At 43.9% G+C, this 15,977-nt stretch overlaps 1 annotated feature.

Moving 5' to 3' along the window:
• Positions 14,820-15,319: an enhancer, noted in NCBI's record as "H3K4me1 hESC enhancer chr7:27539095-27539594 (GRCh37/hg19 assembly coordinates)". NCBI's record gives its function as "activates a minimal SCP1, AML or CMV promoter by ChIP-STARR-seq in primed H9 embryonic stem cells {active_cell/tissue: H9 hESC(primed)}" and the evidence as "EXISTENCE:reporter gene assay evidence [ECO:0000049][PMID:30033119]".

Here is a 15,977-nt window from a genome sequence, read left to right as displayed (position 1 = left end):
CACCATGTGTGAGGCCTCAGAGGGCCTTGCAGTCCCTCTTGCTGTCACCTTTCCCCAACCCCACTATTTTCTGATGGGAAGATCTCTTCCAGCTTGCCTTTGTCCACATCTCTCTCAACTTCCATATGGGCACAGACCTGCGTCTTATAGGCAGGGACCTCCTGTATTCATTCATCTTAAGCTGTTTTATGTAATAGTATTGAAAAGTGATTCACATCCTTTTCCATGCCCTGGTCTCCTTATTGGGCTCTTTAGATGGGCACTGACAAGAAGGCTCCAACCCACCTACCTACTGAGGAGGCCTCTTGATGCGTGGCAGCACCTGCATTTCTACCACAGGCTGGCACCAGGCAAATGAGCATGTCCACTGCCTGAGTAGACATTCAAACATGAGCTCCATGAGGGCAGGGACTGTGGTTTTGTGACTGAGGTATCACAAGCACCTGGCACACTGGATGGATCCCACACACAGCATTTGTTTGGTGCATGAGTGAATGAACAAATGAATGAGATAACCCCAGTTTTTATTAGTAATTCTCTTGAATTACTAATAAAATTACTAAGGAACTAGTAATTCCCCTTCCTTTAGCTGTCCAGGAACACAGGCAAAGCCAAAGCTCCCAGGGTCCTGATTCCATGAGCTCTAAAGCAGGAAGGATTGGAGGAAATGAGGGATTGATTGTAGTGAGGCAGGTTTGCCAAGTCTTAGGAAGCCCAGCCCCAATATTTGGAAGCTTTCCCTGAGTTAGAAACATGAACACATAACCTGTGTTATTATGGGCCCAGGGCCGATTCCAAGGCATCAGGAATAGGCCCTCTAAACATCCCTTTACACACATAAATCACTAGCAGAGTTTCTAACCTGTAGTAGATGCTTAATAAATGCCCTTGCTCTCAGAGTGACTGCATCTGAATACTGGCAGGTAGGATCTTTGATTGGAGTCACGAGCCTGTTACATTGAAATGCTGCTGTGCTACTCAAGCTTAGAGAACACAGAAGCCCACCATAGCAGGAGACCAGAAACTGCTTAATCTCATTTCACTTAATATATCTTAAGTGAGATAATCTAAACACTCTGCTTTATTTTACAAATTTATAATCAACTTTTGAAAATGATGAAAGCCATCCTTTGCTGCCCTACTCACCTCCCATATCCTTCAACACTGTATTAAAAGTTGGGCCACGGAGAGGTCAGGCCTGAGTTCTAAACCCAGCAACACCATTTTCTAGTGTGGGCTTCAGCAGGTAACTTAGCCTTTCTCAGTGCCAGTTTTCTCATCGTAACATACGGATAACAGTAACTGTCCCAGGGGATAATTGAAAGGCTTAAATAAGACAGTGTAGGTACAGGGCATGGCATGGTGTCTGCCACATAGTTAATGCTCACTAAAACTTACGAGCTCTTATTATGAGCTACTGGTAACCAAGAAGCCAGTTGGTGAAGAGCAAACTTGATAAATACAAGACTGCCATCAGCCATCTTCTACCTCAAATGGTTTCTGGTTAGTTAGCAAGAGGGTATTCGAATCTGCTTGTGGGAGATTTTTCTTCTCTAGTGCTGTAGGACCCAGTAGAGATAGCGAATACGAAAAGCCTGGCTCTCTCAAACTTGGCAGAAGATAAGTCAGACATGTGCGGACTCACTGGCTGTATCTGCTAAGACAAAAGCAGTGGTCTGCAAGGTCATATTCTGGGAGACAGATCTTGCTGAATGAATTCCACTCAGAGCTGGGGCTTTGGCGCAGCCCATGGCTGTTAGTGCTCAGCCCAGTGGGGCAAATGGTGGCTTTAAGTCCTCTCTCCTGTGCAATCCTCCCCTACCCCATTCTTTGATGTGGAAAATGGACACTTTGTCAATCTCATGTAAAGTGCTATGCAGATGCGGTTTCAAAGCACTTTCCCACCTCCCTGTCCCTGAGTCTTTCCCGTTTAGAAATTCTGAAGCCGCCAGACAAGCAGACATCACTCTAAACCAAACTGGAGATTGCTAGCTAAATGTCTGCAAACCCAGGGACTCAGCTGGTGCACAGCTGATGGGAGTGTAGACTGATAAAAATCTTGCTGGAGGATCAGTTGCCAATAGATTTTAAAAACACTGATTTATAATTAAACACTGAAATATTTACAAATGTATTCATTCATCTTAGCTTGTTTTATATAATAGTATTGACAAGTGATTCAGATCCTTTTCCATGCCCTGGTCTCCTTATTGGGCCCTTTCTAGCCAAGCTTTGCCAGGCCCAGTGCAGCTGGTGAAGAGGTTTGGCTTTGGAGATGGCAGTGAAGTAGGAAGAGCCACCACAAAACTATAGGAACCGCCAGGCGTGGTGGCTCACACCTGTAATCCCAGCACTTTGGGAGGCTGAGGCTGGCAGATCACGAAGTCAGGAGTTCGAGACCAACCCAGCCAACATGGTGAAACTCCGTCTCTATTAAAAATAAAAAGATTAGCCGGGTGTGGTGGTGGGCACCTGTGATCCCAGCTACTCGGGAGGTTGAGGCAGGAGAGCTGCTTGCACCCAGGAGGCAGAGGTTGCAGTGAGCCGAGATTACGCCGTGGCACTCCAGCCTGGGTGACAGAGCAAGACTCCATCTCGGGGGAAAAAAAAAAAAGAACCATAGGAACCCTGGAGTATTCCCTACCACTGTTAAATTGTCAATAGGGCATGACATGGCTGGTGAAAATTATCTATCCCTCCTTACTTGCAGCCATCCACAGCTCTCCTAGTTACTGACCTGTAGTAGATGCTTAATAAATGCCCTAGGCAGGGATTACAAATAACTGCATATAGCCAGCCAAACATGCTTCCAGCATAATAGAGCCATAGAATGTAAATAGAGCTCATAGTAAAATAGAGCTACAGGAAGACAGGAAGATAGTAGGGGGAAGGAAAGAGGATTAGAGAGTGAGCTGCCATTGTTTAGGATAGTATCTTAGGACATAGAGAATAGAACAGGGGCTTTGGAATATAGCAGACTTATATTTGAGTACCTGAATTACCGATAAATAGCAAACTACTTAACACTTCTGAAGCTTGGTTTCCTTATCTATAAAATGGAGAAGCAGGCTGGTGCTGTGGTTCATGTTAACAATCCCAGCACTTTGGGAATCTGAAGCAGGAGGATCACTTGAGCCCAGGAGTTAGAGATCAGCCTGGACAACATAGTGAGACCCTATCTCTACTAAATAAAAATAAAAATTAGCTGGGTGTGGTGGCACACGCCTATAGTCCCAGCTACTGAGAGGCTGAGACAGGAGGATCACTTGAGCCCAGGAGTTTGAGGCTATAGTGAGCTATGATCACACCACTGTACTCCAGCCTGGGCAACAGAGCAAGATCCTGTCTCTAAAAAAAAAAATAATTAAAACAAAATAGGAAAAGCAATTTGTAGAGCTATTGGGAGAATTAAATGAAAGAGCATATACAAAGCATCTGACCCAGGGAAGGTACTCAATAAAAATGAGTTTCGTTTTCAAATACTTTGTCCTGTTGTCTCCTTAAGAAACCTTTATTACATAATGTGTGATTTCAGATTCAAAAAGCATGATCAATGTGACATCTCTAAAACTCTGTTATGTCCCAGATGAACAGTCTGATTTATTATCGTATATGTAGTTTCCACTATCTTAGTGGGGTTTTAAGGAATTTAGCCTTGTAGTGACCTTTTTGATTAAAGACTCTCTTAAGAAGTTGGTTAAATAACAAAGTATGGATTATTAAGTCCAAGAGTAGCATTTAAAAAATATGATTACCTAAAATGTGGTGCTTCCAGTAAGCACTATGTTTAACATCAGGTGAGTTGTACTGATATCTTTTGCATAACTAACAGATGGCTTTGAAGTTTACTCAAAAGACAATTAAAAAGGCTGGTCAGGCAAGGGATGGCGGGATGTTTTAAAGCCTGCTTTTACCCAAGCATTCCATGCAGATAAGCACCAGGGTAGAGGAAGAATAAGAAGTGGTCTTCTAAGCTTAAGTGTTCTGTTTCACTTCCTTCTGTCCCAAGTAGTTGCTAAAGTAATTTACAATTTGGAAAGCTGTGATCACCCTACCTGAAGCAGTAAAATCTCATGGTGGGGCCTCCTAATTTATCACCGGCAGTAAATGCTAACAAATTATACTGTACTAAAAGCCATTGCCCAAGAGTTTAGCCCAGAAGACACCAAGGCAAAGCCTTTTTTTTTTTTTTTTTTTTTTTTTTTTAATCAGGATGAGTGAATGTTTAGTCTACTGGATATTTTTCAAGCTTACATTTTTATATTATACCTTTTGGTTTTTTTGAACCAGATCCAAGTTTGACTGGTATTTGCAGTAATGTTCTCTTTGTTTTCCCTTTATTTCCCATCTCACTGTTACCTCTATCCCAGTGGAGCCTTTCCAGTGTTTGAAGAGGGCAAACATTGATCTAGCCTGAAGTTAGAACAGGAAAATATGTGCGAGGAAAATGATGTTACCATTTGCACTCAGTCATTTGGTCAAGAGTCAACCCTCTCATTTTAAAAGCAAAATATGCATCAAAAACTTCAACAGACTTCAGCAGCAATGGAAAGCAGCATGTTTGGAAATTGCACATCAGGAGACCTACTGCTGAGTTTAGAATGATTACCAGATTCCATCATACTGCCTTCTAGTGAAATCTAGCAGTTTCTTGTTAGAGTCTTAGAAACTATTCAAGACCAATCCATTTAGCCAAAAAAAAAAAAAAATTCCTCCTCTCTGGGTGAATTTATTGATATCAGAGAACAGATTTATTTATAAACCCAAGAATTCTTCTAAAAAATAAAAAAGAAAGAAAAAAGCTTTCCTCAAGATACTAAGGATCCTGAGGCCTCAGAGGCTCTTGGTCATGCCAGATTTGAGCATCTTCCTCTACTCTTTTCCTAAATGCCACAGAAAGGGAAAAAAAAAGTGAGGAAATATCACTTATTCTTTCTTTTAGATTGGCTGGAAACCTAGTTTTTGTTGGTTTTGTTTTAGATCCGGATTTCTTTCTTTCTAATTGAGTAACAGGGTTGCTCGTGCAAGTCACCCATTCTCTTGCCCTTGTGAACTGGGGGCCCGCAGGAGTGGCAGCACCTAGGGCTGTGATAGACATGCAGAGCCTCGGCTGCCAGCCAGACCTGTCGTGAGAAGAGCTGCTGAGTATCCCTCAGATTGCACTGTGCCAGGGGATGCTGGTGTTTAGGGTTGTTGGCAGGTTTTTAGTTTGAAGGGATGTCCTATACGAGGAAAGAATCCTAGACCCAGAGCACTCCAAGAAGCAGAGGGCTTACTCATGGGATATACATGCACCTGAACTGGAGTCTGAAAGCAAGATCTGGAGGCAGCTCCAGGGACAGGCTGTCCTCTGCCCCTAGCTCCTGTGTCTGCTCCACTCTCCTCCCTTCACGGACCACATTTCAGAGCTTCCTCATGGCTTCTGCTGCTACACAACTTAGGCTTTGACATGGTCCATGATGGCCCCTCCAATCCCTTTCTCCATCAGCACCTCCTTTCAGCTTCAGCTCATACGGATGCCTGATTTCCTCCATCTAAATTCTCAAGAGCTAGAATCTGATGGGTCCAATAAAACGTTTTGCTCCCAACTTTCCACAGGTCACTGGCTAGCCTAGAATTGGACTCTGGATCAGCTCGAGGGGCTGGGGGTACAAATGATCTGCGTGAAGGCTGACCTCAGCAGGGGAGGAGGCCAAGGACTGGCAGGCAGTTCAAGAGGCCTGAGAGGTGGGACCCTGGCCACCTGAAATTTATCACAGCTTGTAGGAACTGCACAATAAAAAATCTGAATGGAACTTGGGAAAAAACTCTCAGCTGGGCGTGGTGGCTCACGCCTGTAATCCCAACACTTTGGGAGGCCGAGGTGGGTGGATTACGAGGTCAGGAGATTGAGACCGTCCTAGCCAACATGGTGAAACCATCTCTACTAAAAATACAAAAATTAGCTGGGCGTGGTGGCACGCGCCTGTAGTCCCAGCTACTCGGGAGGCTGAGGCAGGAGAATCACTTGAACCTCAGAGGTGGAGGCTGCAGCGAGCTGAGATCACACCACCGCACTCCAGCCTGGCAACACAGCAAGACTCTGTCAAAAACAAAACAAAACAAAAAAAACACACACATACACAACAAAACTCTTACCTGCTCCCCAATGCAAATGTCAGTTTAAGTCAGGAAATAAAAAAAGTTTCTAAATTTATTTACTGCCAGACCTATTCTAGGGAGAGAAAGAAGGAAAGATGAGTATGGGGAACTAAACATTGATTTTAAAGACGTTTTGTGGGCCAGTTAATTTTAGGGACTTATAGTAAGACAAAAAACTACATACCTGGGAGGCTGGTGAGAGTAAGTCTAAAGAATTGAAATTTTCTGATATATTATGTAGAAGACAGGTACCCCCCTTACCTCTCTTCAAAGAGCCTAATAACATAGCTGCATTTATGAAGCCTGGAAGAAGTTGTTAGAGAAAGTTTGAGAGTTTTAAAATTATTACTGAAGAAAGATCTGAATCTTTATCAGGAATCTTAGTTTTCCTACAAAAATTACAAATCTCAGGGCAGATATGTCAGCCATCTGGGGATCAAAAACTAAGCCTTTTGGGTTAGGAGAGAAGATGGCCGAATAGGAACAGCTCCGGTCTACAGCTCCCAGCGTGAGCGACGCAGAAGACGGTGATTTCTGCATTTCCATCTGAGGTACCGGGTTCATCTCACTAGGGAGCGCCAGACAGTGGGCGCAGGTCAGTGGGTGCGTGCACCGTGTGCGAGCCGAAGCAGGGTGAGGCACTGCCTCACTCGGGAAGCACAAGGGGTCAGGGAGTTCCCTTTCCTAGTCAAAGAAAGGGGTGACAGACGGCACCTGGAAAATCAGGTCACTCCCACCCGAATACTGCGCTTTTCCGACAGGCTTAAAAAACGGCGCACCAGGAGATTATAACCTGCACCTGGCTTGGAGGGTCCTACCCAACGGAGTCTCGCTGATTGCTAGCACAGCAGTCTGAGATCAAACTGCAAGGCAGCAGCGAGGCTGGGGGAGGGGAGCCCGCCATTGCCCAGGCTTGATTAGGTAAACAAAGCAGCCTGGAAGCTCGAACTGGGTGAAGCCCACCACAGCTCAAGGAGGCCTGCCTGCCTCTGTAGGCTCCACCTCTGGGGGCAGGGCACAGACAAACAAAAAGACAGCAGTAACCTCTGCAGACTTACATGTCCCTGTCTGACAGCTTTGAAGAGAGTAGTGGTTCTCCCAGCACGCAGCTGGAGATCTGAGAACAGGTAGACTGCCTCCTCAAGTGGGTCCCTGACCCCTGACCCCCGAGCAGTCTAACTGGGAGGCTCCCCCCAGCAGGGGCAGACTGACACCTCACACGGCAGGGTACTCCAACAGACCTGCAGCTGAGGGTCCTGTCTGTTAGAAGGAAAACTAACAAACAGAAAGGACATCCACACCAAAAACCCATCTGTACATCACCATCATCAAAGACCAAAAGTAGATAAAACCACAAAGATGGGGAAAAAACAGAGCAGAAAAACTGGAAACTCTAAAAAGCAGGGCGCCTCTCCTCCTCTAAAGGAATGCAGTTCCTCACCAGCAACGGAACAAAGCTGGATGGAGAGACTTTGACGAGCTGAGAGAAGAAGGCTTCAGACGATCAAATTACCCCGAGCAACAGGAGGAAATTCAAACCAAAGGCAAAGAAGTTGAAAACTTTGAAAAAAGTTTAGAAGAATGTATAACTAGAATAACCAATACAGAGAAGTGCTTAAAGGAGCTGATGGAGCTGAAAACCAAGGCTCGAGAACTACATGAAGAATGCAGAAGCCTCAGGAGCCGATGCGATCAACTGGAAGAAAGGGTATCAGCGATGGAAGATGAAGTGAATGAAATGAAGTGAGAAGGGAAGTTTAGAGAAAAAAGAATAAAAAGAAACGAGCAAAGCCTCCAAGAAATATGGGACTATGTGAAAAGACCAAATCTACGTCTGATTGGTGTACCTGAAAGTGACGGGGAGAATGGAACCAAGTTGGAAAACACTCGTCAGGATATTATCCAGGAGAACTTCCCCAATCTAGCAAGGCAGGCCAACATTCAGATTCAGGAAATACAGAGAACACCACAAAGATACTCCTCAAGAAGAGAAACTCCAAGACACATAATTGTCAGATTCACCAAAGTCAAAATGAAGGAAAAAATATTAAGGGCAGCCAGAGAGAAAGGTCGGGTTACCCACAAAGGGAAGCCCATCAGACTAACAGCTGATCTCTCAGCAGAAACTCTACAAGCCAGAAGAGAATGGGGGCCAATATTCAACATTCTTAAAGAAAAGAATTTTCAACCCAGAATTTCATATGCAGCCAAACTAAGCTTCATAAGTGAAGGAGAAATAAAATACTTTACAGACAAGCAAATGCTGAGAGATTTTGTCACCACCAGGCCTGCCCTAAAAGAGCTCCCGAAGGAAGTGCTAAACATGGAAAGGAACAACCGATACCAGCCACTGCAAAATCATGCCAAAATGTAAAGACCATCGAGACTAGGAAGAAACTGCATCAACTAACGAGCAAAATAACCAGCTAACATCATAATGACAGGGTCAAATTCATACATAACAATATTAACCTTAAATATAAATGGGCTAAATGCTCCAATTAAAAGACACAGACTGGCAAATTGGATAGAGTCAAGACCCATCAGTGTGCTGTATTCAGGAAACCCATCTCATGTGCAGAGACACACATAGGCTCAAAATAAAAGGATGGAGGAAGATCTACCAAGCAAATGGAAAACAAAAAAAGACAGGGGTTGCAATCCTAGTCTCTGATAAAACAGACTTTAAACCAACAAAGATCAAAAGAGACAAAGAAGGCCATTACATAATGGTAAAGGGATCAATTCAACAAGAAGAGCTAACTATCCTAAATATATATGCACCCAATACAAGAGCACCCAGATTCATAAAGCAAGTCCTTAGAGACCTACAAAGAGACTTAGACTCCCACACATTAATAATGGGAGACTTTAACACCCCACTGTCAACATTAGACAGATCAACGAGACAGAAAGTCAACAAGGATACCCAGGAATTGAACTCAGCTCTGTACCAAGCAGACCTAATAGACAGCTACAGAACTCTCCACCCCAAATCAACAGAATATACATTTTTTTCAGCACCACACCACACCTATTCCAAAATTGACCACATACTTGGAAGTAAAGCTCTCCTCAGCAAATGTAAAAGAACAGAGATTATAACAAACTACCTCTCAGACCACAGTGCAATCAAACTAGAACTCAGGATTAAGAATCTCACTCAAAACCGCTCAACTACATGGAAACTGAACAACCTGCTCCTGAATGACTACTGGATACATAACAAAATGAAGGCAGAAATAAAGATGTTCTTTGAAACCAACGAGAACAAAGACACAACATACCAGAATCTCTGGGACACATTCAAAGCAGTGTGTAGAGGGAAATTTATAGCACTAAATGCCCACAAGAGAAAGCAGGAAAGATCCAAAATTGACACCCTAACATCACAATTAAAAGAACTAGAAAAGCAAGAGCAAACACATTCAAAAGCTAGCAGAAGGCAAGAAATAATTAAAATCAGAGCAGAACTGAATGAAATAGAGACACAAAAAACCCTTCAAAAAATTAATGAATCCAGGAGCTGGTTTTTTGAGAGGATCAACAAAATTGATAGACCGCTAGCAAGACTAATAAAGAAAAAAAGAGATAAAAATCAAATAGACACAATAAAAAATGATAAAGGGGATATCACCACCAATCCCACAGAAATACAAACTACCATCAGAGAATACTACAAACACCTCTACGCAAATAAACTAGAAAATCTAGAAGAAATGGATAAATTCCTTGACACATACACTCTCCCAAGACTAAACCAGGAAGAAGTTGAATCCCTGAATAGACCAATAACAGGAGCTGAAATTGTGGCAATAATCAATAGCTTACCAACCAAAAAGAGTCCAGGACCAGATGGATTCACAGCCGAATTCTACCAGAGGTACAAGGAGGAACTGGTACCATTCCTTCTGAAACTATTCCAATCAATAGAAAAAGAGAGAATCCTCCCTAACTCATTTTATGAGGCCAGCATCATCCTGATACCAAAGCTGGGCAGAGACACAACCAAAAAAGAGAATTTTAGACCAATATCCTTTATGAACATTGATGCAAAAATCCTCAATAAAATACTAGCAAACCGAATCCAGCAGCACATCAAAAAGCTTATCCACCATGATCAAGTGGGTTTCATCCCTGGGATGCAAGGCTGGTTCAATATATGCAAATCAATAAATGTTATCCAGCATATAAACAGAACCAAAGACAAAAACCACACGATTATCTCAATAGATGCAGAAAGGGCCTTTGACAAAATTCAACAACCCTCATGCTAAAAACTCTCAATAAATTAGGTATTGATGGGACGTATCTCAAAATAATAAGAGCTATCTATGACAAACCCACAGCCAATATCATACTGCATGGGCAAAAACTGGAAGCATTCCCTTTGAAAACTGGCACAAGACAGGGATGCCCTCTCTCACCACTCCTATTCAATATAGTGTTGGAAGTTCTGGCCAGGGCAATTAGGCAGGAGAAGGAAATAAAGGGTATTCAATTAGGAAAAGAGGAAGTCAAATTGTCCTTGTTTGTAGACGACATGATTGTATATCTAGAAAACCCCATTGTCTCAGCCCAAAATCTCCTTAAGCTGATAAGCAACTTCAGCAAAGTCTCAGGATACAAAATCAATGTACAAAAATCACAAGCATTCTTATACACCAACAACAGACAAACAGAGAGCCAAATCATGAGTGAACTCCCATTCACAATTGCTTCAAAGAGAATAAAATACCTAGGAATCCAAATTACAAGGGATGTGAAGGACCTCTTCAAGGAGAACTACAAACCACTGGTCAACGAAATAAGAGGATACAAACAAATGGAAGAACATTCCATGCTCATGGGTAGGAAGAATCAATATCGTGAAAATGGCCATACTGCCCAAGGTAATTTACAGATTCAATGCCATCCCCATCAAGCTACCAATGCCTTTCTTCACAGAATTGGAAAAAACTACTTTAAAGTTCATATAGAACCAAAAAAGAGCCCACATTGCCAAGTCAATCCTAAGCCAAAAGAACAAAGCTGGAGGCATCATGCTACCTGACTTCAAACTATACTACAAGGCTACAGTAACCAAAACAGCATGGTACTGGTACCAAAACAGAGATATAGACCAATGAAACAGAACAGAGCCCTCAGAAATAACGCCACATATCTACAACTATCTGATCTTTGACAAACCTGACAAAAACAAAAAATGGGGAAAGGATTCCCTATTTAATAAATGGTGCTGGGAAAACTGGCTAGCCATATGTAGAAAGCTGAAACTGGATCCCTTCCTTACACCTTATACAAAAATCAATTCAAGATGGATTAAAGACTTAAACGTTAGACCTAAAACCATAAAAACCCTAGAAGAAAACCTAGGCATTACCATTCAGGACATAGGCATGGGCAAGGACTTCATGTCTAAAACACCAAAAGCAATGGCAACAAAAGCCAAAATTGACAAATGGGATCTAATTAAAGAGCTTCTGCACAGCAAAAGAAACTACCATCAGAGTGAACAGGCAACCTACAAAATGGGAGAAAATTTTCGCAACCTACTCATCTGACAAAGGGCTAATATCCAGAATCTACAAAGAACTCAAACAAATTTACAAGAAAAAAACAACCCCATCAAAAAGTGGGAGGACATGAACAGACACTTCTCAAAAGAAGACATTTATGCAGCCAAAAAACACATGGAAAAATGCTCACCATCACTGGCCATCAGAGAAATGCAAATCAAACCACAATGAGATACCATCTCACACCAGTTAGAATGGCAATCGTTCAAAAGTCAGGAAACAACAGGTGCTGGAGAGGATGTGGAGAAGTAGGAACACTTTTACACTGTTGGTGGGACTGTAAACTAGTTCAACCATTGTGGAAGTCAGTGTGGCGATTCCTCAGGGATCTAGAACTAGAAATACCATTTGACCCACCCATCCCATTACTGGGTATATACCCAAAGGACTATAAATCATGCTGCTATAAAGACACACGCACATGTATGTTTATTGCGGCATTATTCACAATAGCAAAGACTTGGAACCAACCCAAATGTCCAACAATGATAGACTGGATTGAGAAAATGTGGCACAGATACACCATGGAATACTATGCAGCCATAAAAAATGATGAGTTCACGTCCTTCGTAGGGACATGGATGAAACTGGAAATCATCATTCTCAGTAAACTATCGCAAAAACAAAAAACCAAACACCGCATATTCTCACTCATAGGTGGGAATTGAACAATGAGAACACATGGACACAGGAAGGGGAACATCACACTCTGGGGACTGTTGTGGGGTGGGGTGAGGGGGGAGGGATAGCATTGGGAGATATACCTAATGCTACATGACGAGTTAGTGGGTGCAGCGCATCAGCATGGCACATGTATACATATGTAACTAACCTGCACATTGTGCACATGTACCCTAAAACTTAAAAAAAACAAAGAAAAACAAATCTCTTCAACTAAGATGACTGTAATTCCACCATTAAAGGCCTACTTTAATGAAAAAAAAAAAAAAAAAGAAAACGTGGTATGAACCATGGAATACTATGCAGCCATAAAAAAGAATGAAATGATGCCCTTTGCAGCAACATTGATGCACCTGGAGGCCATTATCCTAAGTGAACTAATGCAGAAATAAAACCAAACATTGCATGTTCTTATAAGTGGGAGCTTAACAATGGGTACTCATGGACATAAGGAGGAGAACAGTAGACACTGGGGACTGCTAGAGGCGGGAGAGAGGGACAAGGAAAAGGGCTGAGAATCTACCTATTAGGGATTGTGCTCATTACCAGGGGGATGGGTTCAGTCATACCCCAAACCTCAGAGTCATGCAATAGGCCTCTGTAACAATCCTGCACGTGTACCCCTGGATTCTAAAATAAAAGTTGAAAAAGAAAAAAAAAGAAGAATTGGTTAGGAGAATAAGCATTTTATCAATTGAAAATAAACTTGAAAGGGATCCTTAATATTTTGCCCACTCAGGGTAAACCTTCACTGCACTAACAATTTTCAGCTAAAGGCCCTAACTAAATTCTGCCACCTGGGCAAACTCTAGTCCGATGATATTCAAAGAAATTAAACCATTTTAAAAACTTAAAAAAAAAAACAAAAAACTAAGCCTTTTGATGCTACAACAAGATAACATTATGGAAGCCCTGCAGCCTAGTTCAACAGGCACTGCTGAGAGCTCACTGCAGTCATAAATAGAGGTGATTCGGTTTGCACAATGTCTTTCTGCTGGTCAGGCCCCTCCTTTCCTTTGTTTCTCCCTCCTGGCCAGTGAGACTCATTCCCCTGCCTCCACTCTGTCCCCTCTGGCCTAATCCACACACAGTTGCCACTTGGCCTTCCTGGAGGCACAGCTCCAACCACAGACCTGATCTGCTCAGACACCGGCAGAAGTCGTGAAGGAAGCGCAGCCTCCCCAGTCTGGCACCTGCCTTAACACTCTGCACAGTGGCCACACCTCCCACGACACTCTTATCTGTACCATACACTCTTGTCATCCTGCAAGGTCTCCTTCCTCAGGAGTGCTGGCCCAGTCCCCCGTCCCTGCTCACTGCCCCCAGCTTTCCTATCCCTGCCTAGCACCTCCTCTGGGCTCTGTCTTTCAAAATGCCCTCCACCTGAGGCGGAGTTTCACTCTTGTCACCCAGTCTGGAGTGCAGTGGCACGATCTCCACTCCCTATAACCTCCATCTCCCGGGTTCAAGCGATTCTCCTGCCTCAGCCTCCCAAGTAGCTGGGATTACAGGTGCCTGCCACCACGCTAATTTTTGTATTTTTAGTAGAGATGGGGTTCACCATGTTGGCCAGGCTGGTCTCTAATTCCTGACCTAAGGTGATCCACCTGCCTCGGCCTCCCAAAGTGCTGGGATTACAGGCGTGAGCCACCATGCCCAGCCTCAAGTGCATTTATGATACCGCTTTCGAGATACCCCTCCTCCTTCTCCCTGGTTTGTTGATGTCTCATCTTCCTCATAGCAGCTGTGATCTCACATGCCCCTTTCCCTTTTGTTTTTTAGGTTTTCACCTTGAAGATGCCATCCCTCCCCCGTTAGGTCAGAAGTATATCAAGAATGGGAACTTGAAATCCTCACACCAAATGTGACGTGGTAGAAAAACAGAGTGGTATAGTAATGCGAGTAGGATCTGGACTCCCAATTTCCTATCAGAATTCACATTCCTGGTGGACTTATTTGCTGTGGTTTGTGGGATGTTGAACAAGTCACTTGCCTCTCACAGTCTCAGCTTCTGTATCTGTAAAATAAGACAAGAATTATAGTGACCCCATAGGCTTGCTGTGAGGATCACCTGAGCCATACATTCCAAAGTGCTCCGTGAACTCATCAGCACCTCACAGAACATCACTTGCTGCTCTAGTGATGCCAGTAGGTGCTCAGTAAATGCAAGCCCCCATGCAGCCCCTGGACGGGGATGCTGGAGGCTCCAGGGTTAGCCAACAGCATTAACCTGCTTGTCCGTCAAGACTTTTATAAGAGCTGCTAACAGGCAGGAAAATTGCAGGATTTGAGTTTCACCTCCTCCCCTTAACCAGGTCACCTTCTGGAGGAGGTGCTAATGAGCAGCAAAATGACCAAAATGTGGGCAGTAAGGGAGGCAGAGAAGGAAACAGCCAAGGAGCTTGGACAGCCCTCTGCTAGCTACCCAGCTCTTGAAGCTAGGCCTAACAGGCATCCCAGAGCCCAGCACAAGGCCCCTCTTGGCACCAAGGGGAGAATAACCATGCAAGGGCCAGAGATGTGGTTTTTGTTCCGGTGAAGCTTTGGGAAAAAACCCACATCAGGCCCCTCTCTCTCTGGCCATATAAACTTGGAGTCTCCAGCCTCCACAGTGGGCACAGTGGTGCTTTAATAATTGCTCTTTCTCTTAAGCAGGTTCCATTTTAACTGACCACCTTCTTGACAAATATTGAGCCACAGAATGTTCTTGACGAGTGGCAACCTAAGAGTGCCATCAGCAGTGGAGGGTCTCAAGTCTTCCATTCCAGACCCACGGCCAGAGCAGGCAGGTCCAGGAGGGGCAGGCACGGGACTGGCCGCTTCCCAGACATCCATGAATAGATGTGGCCTCCTGTGAGTCTTCCCTTACCATCTGCGGTGTCAGCTTCAGGGCTCCAGGGCTCCAGGGAGAACCTGAGGCCTTGAAGGAGCAGGCTGGTGAGCCCCAGCATTCACTAACCACGACATCTGCCAACAAACTTCACCCATCAGTGGCTCTCAAGTCTGGCTGCACATGAGAACCACCCGGGGCGGCAATGCTGCTGCCACCTTGGAAGGTTGCTGTGTACTGAATCGAGGTAATGCGTATTCAATACTTGGCACTTAGTAAATACAGCAGGTCCTCAAATAATGTTGTTTTTCTTCTTTTCTTTTTTGAGACGGAGTATCGCTCTTGTCACCCAGGCCAGACTGCAGTAGCATGATCTCAGCTCACTGCAACCTCCACCCTCCAGGTTCAAGTGATTCTCCTGCCTCAGCCTCCCAAGTATCTGGGACATAGGCATGCACCACCACGCCTGGCTAATTTTTGTATTTTAGTAGATTTTGTATTTTTAGTAGGTTTTGCCATGTTGGCCAGGCTGGTCTTGAACACCTGACTTCAGATGATTCACCCGCCTTGGCTTCCCAAGTGCTGGGATTACAGGCATGAGCCACCATGCCCGGCCAAATAACACTTAGTTCAACGTTATTTTCTTACAAAATTGATGAGAAAAGAAAAATCAATTCCAGCTGGGGCCACTGTCTATGTGGAATTGGCACATGCTCCTCACATCCGCGTGGGTTTTCTGTAAGTAC

This window comes from Homo sapiens, chromosome 7 (genome assembly GCF_000001405.40).
Source record: "Homo sapiens chromosome 7, GRCh38.p14 Primary Assembly".
Lineage (NCBI taxonomy): Eukaryota > Metazoa > Chordata > Mammalia > Primates > Hominidae > Homo > Homo sapiens.
The sequence above is the reverse complement of the archived record's forward strand: the minus strand, read 5'-3'. Positions and strand labels throughout refer to the sequence as shown.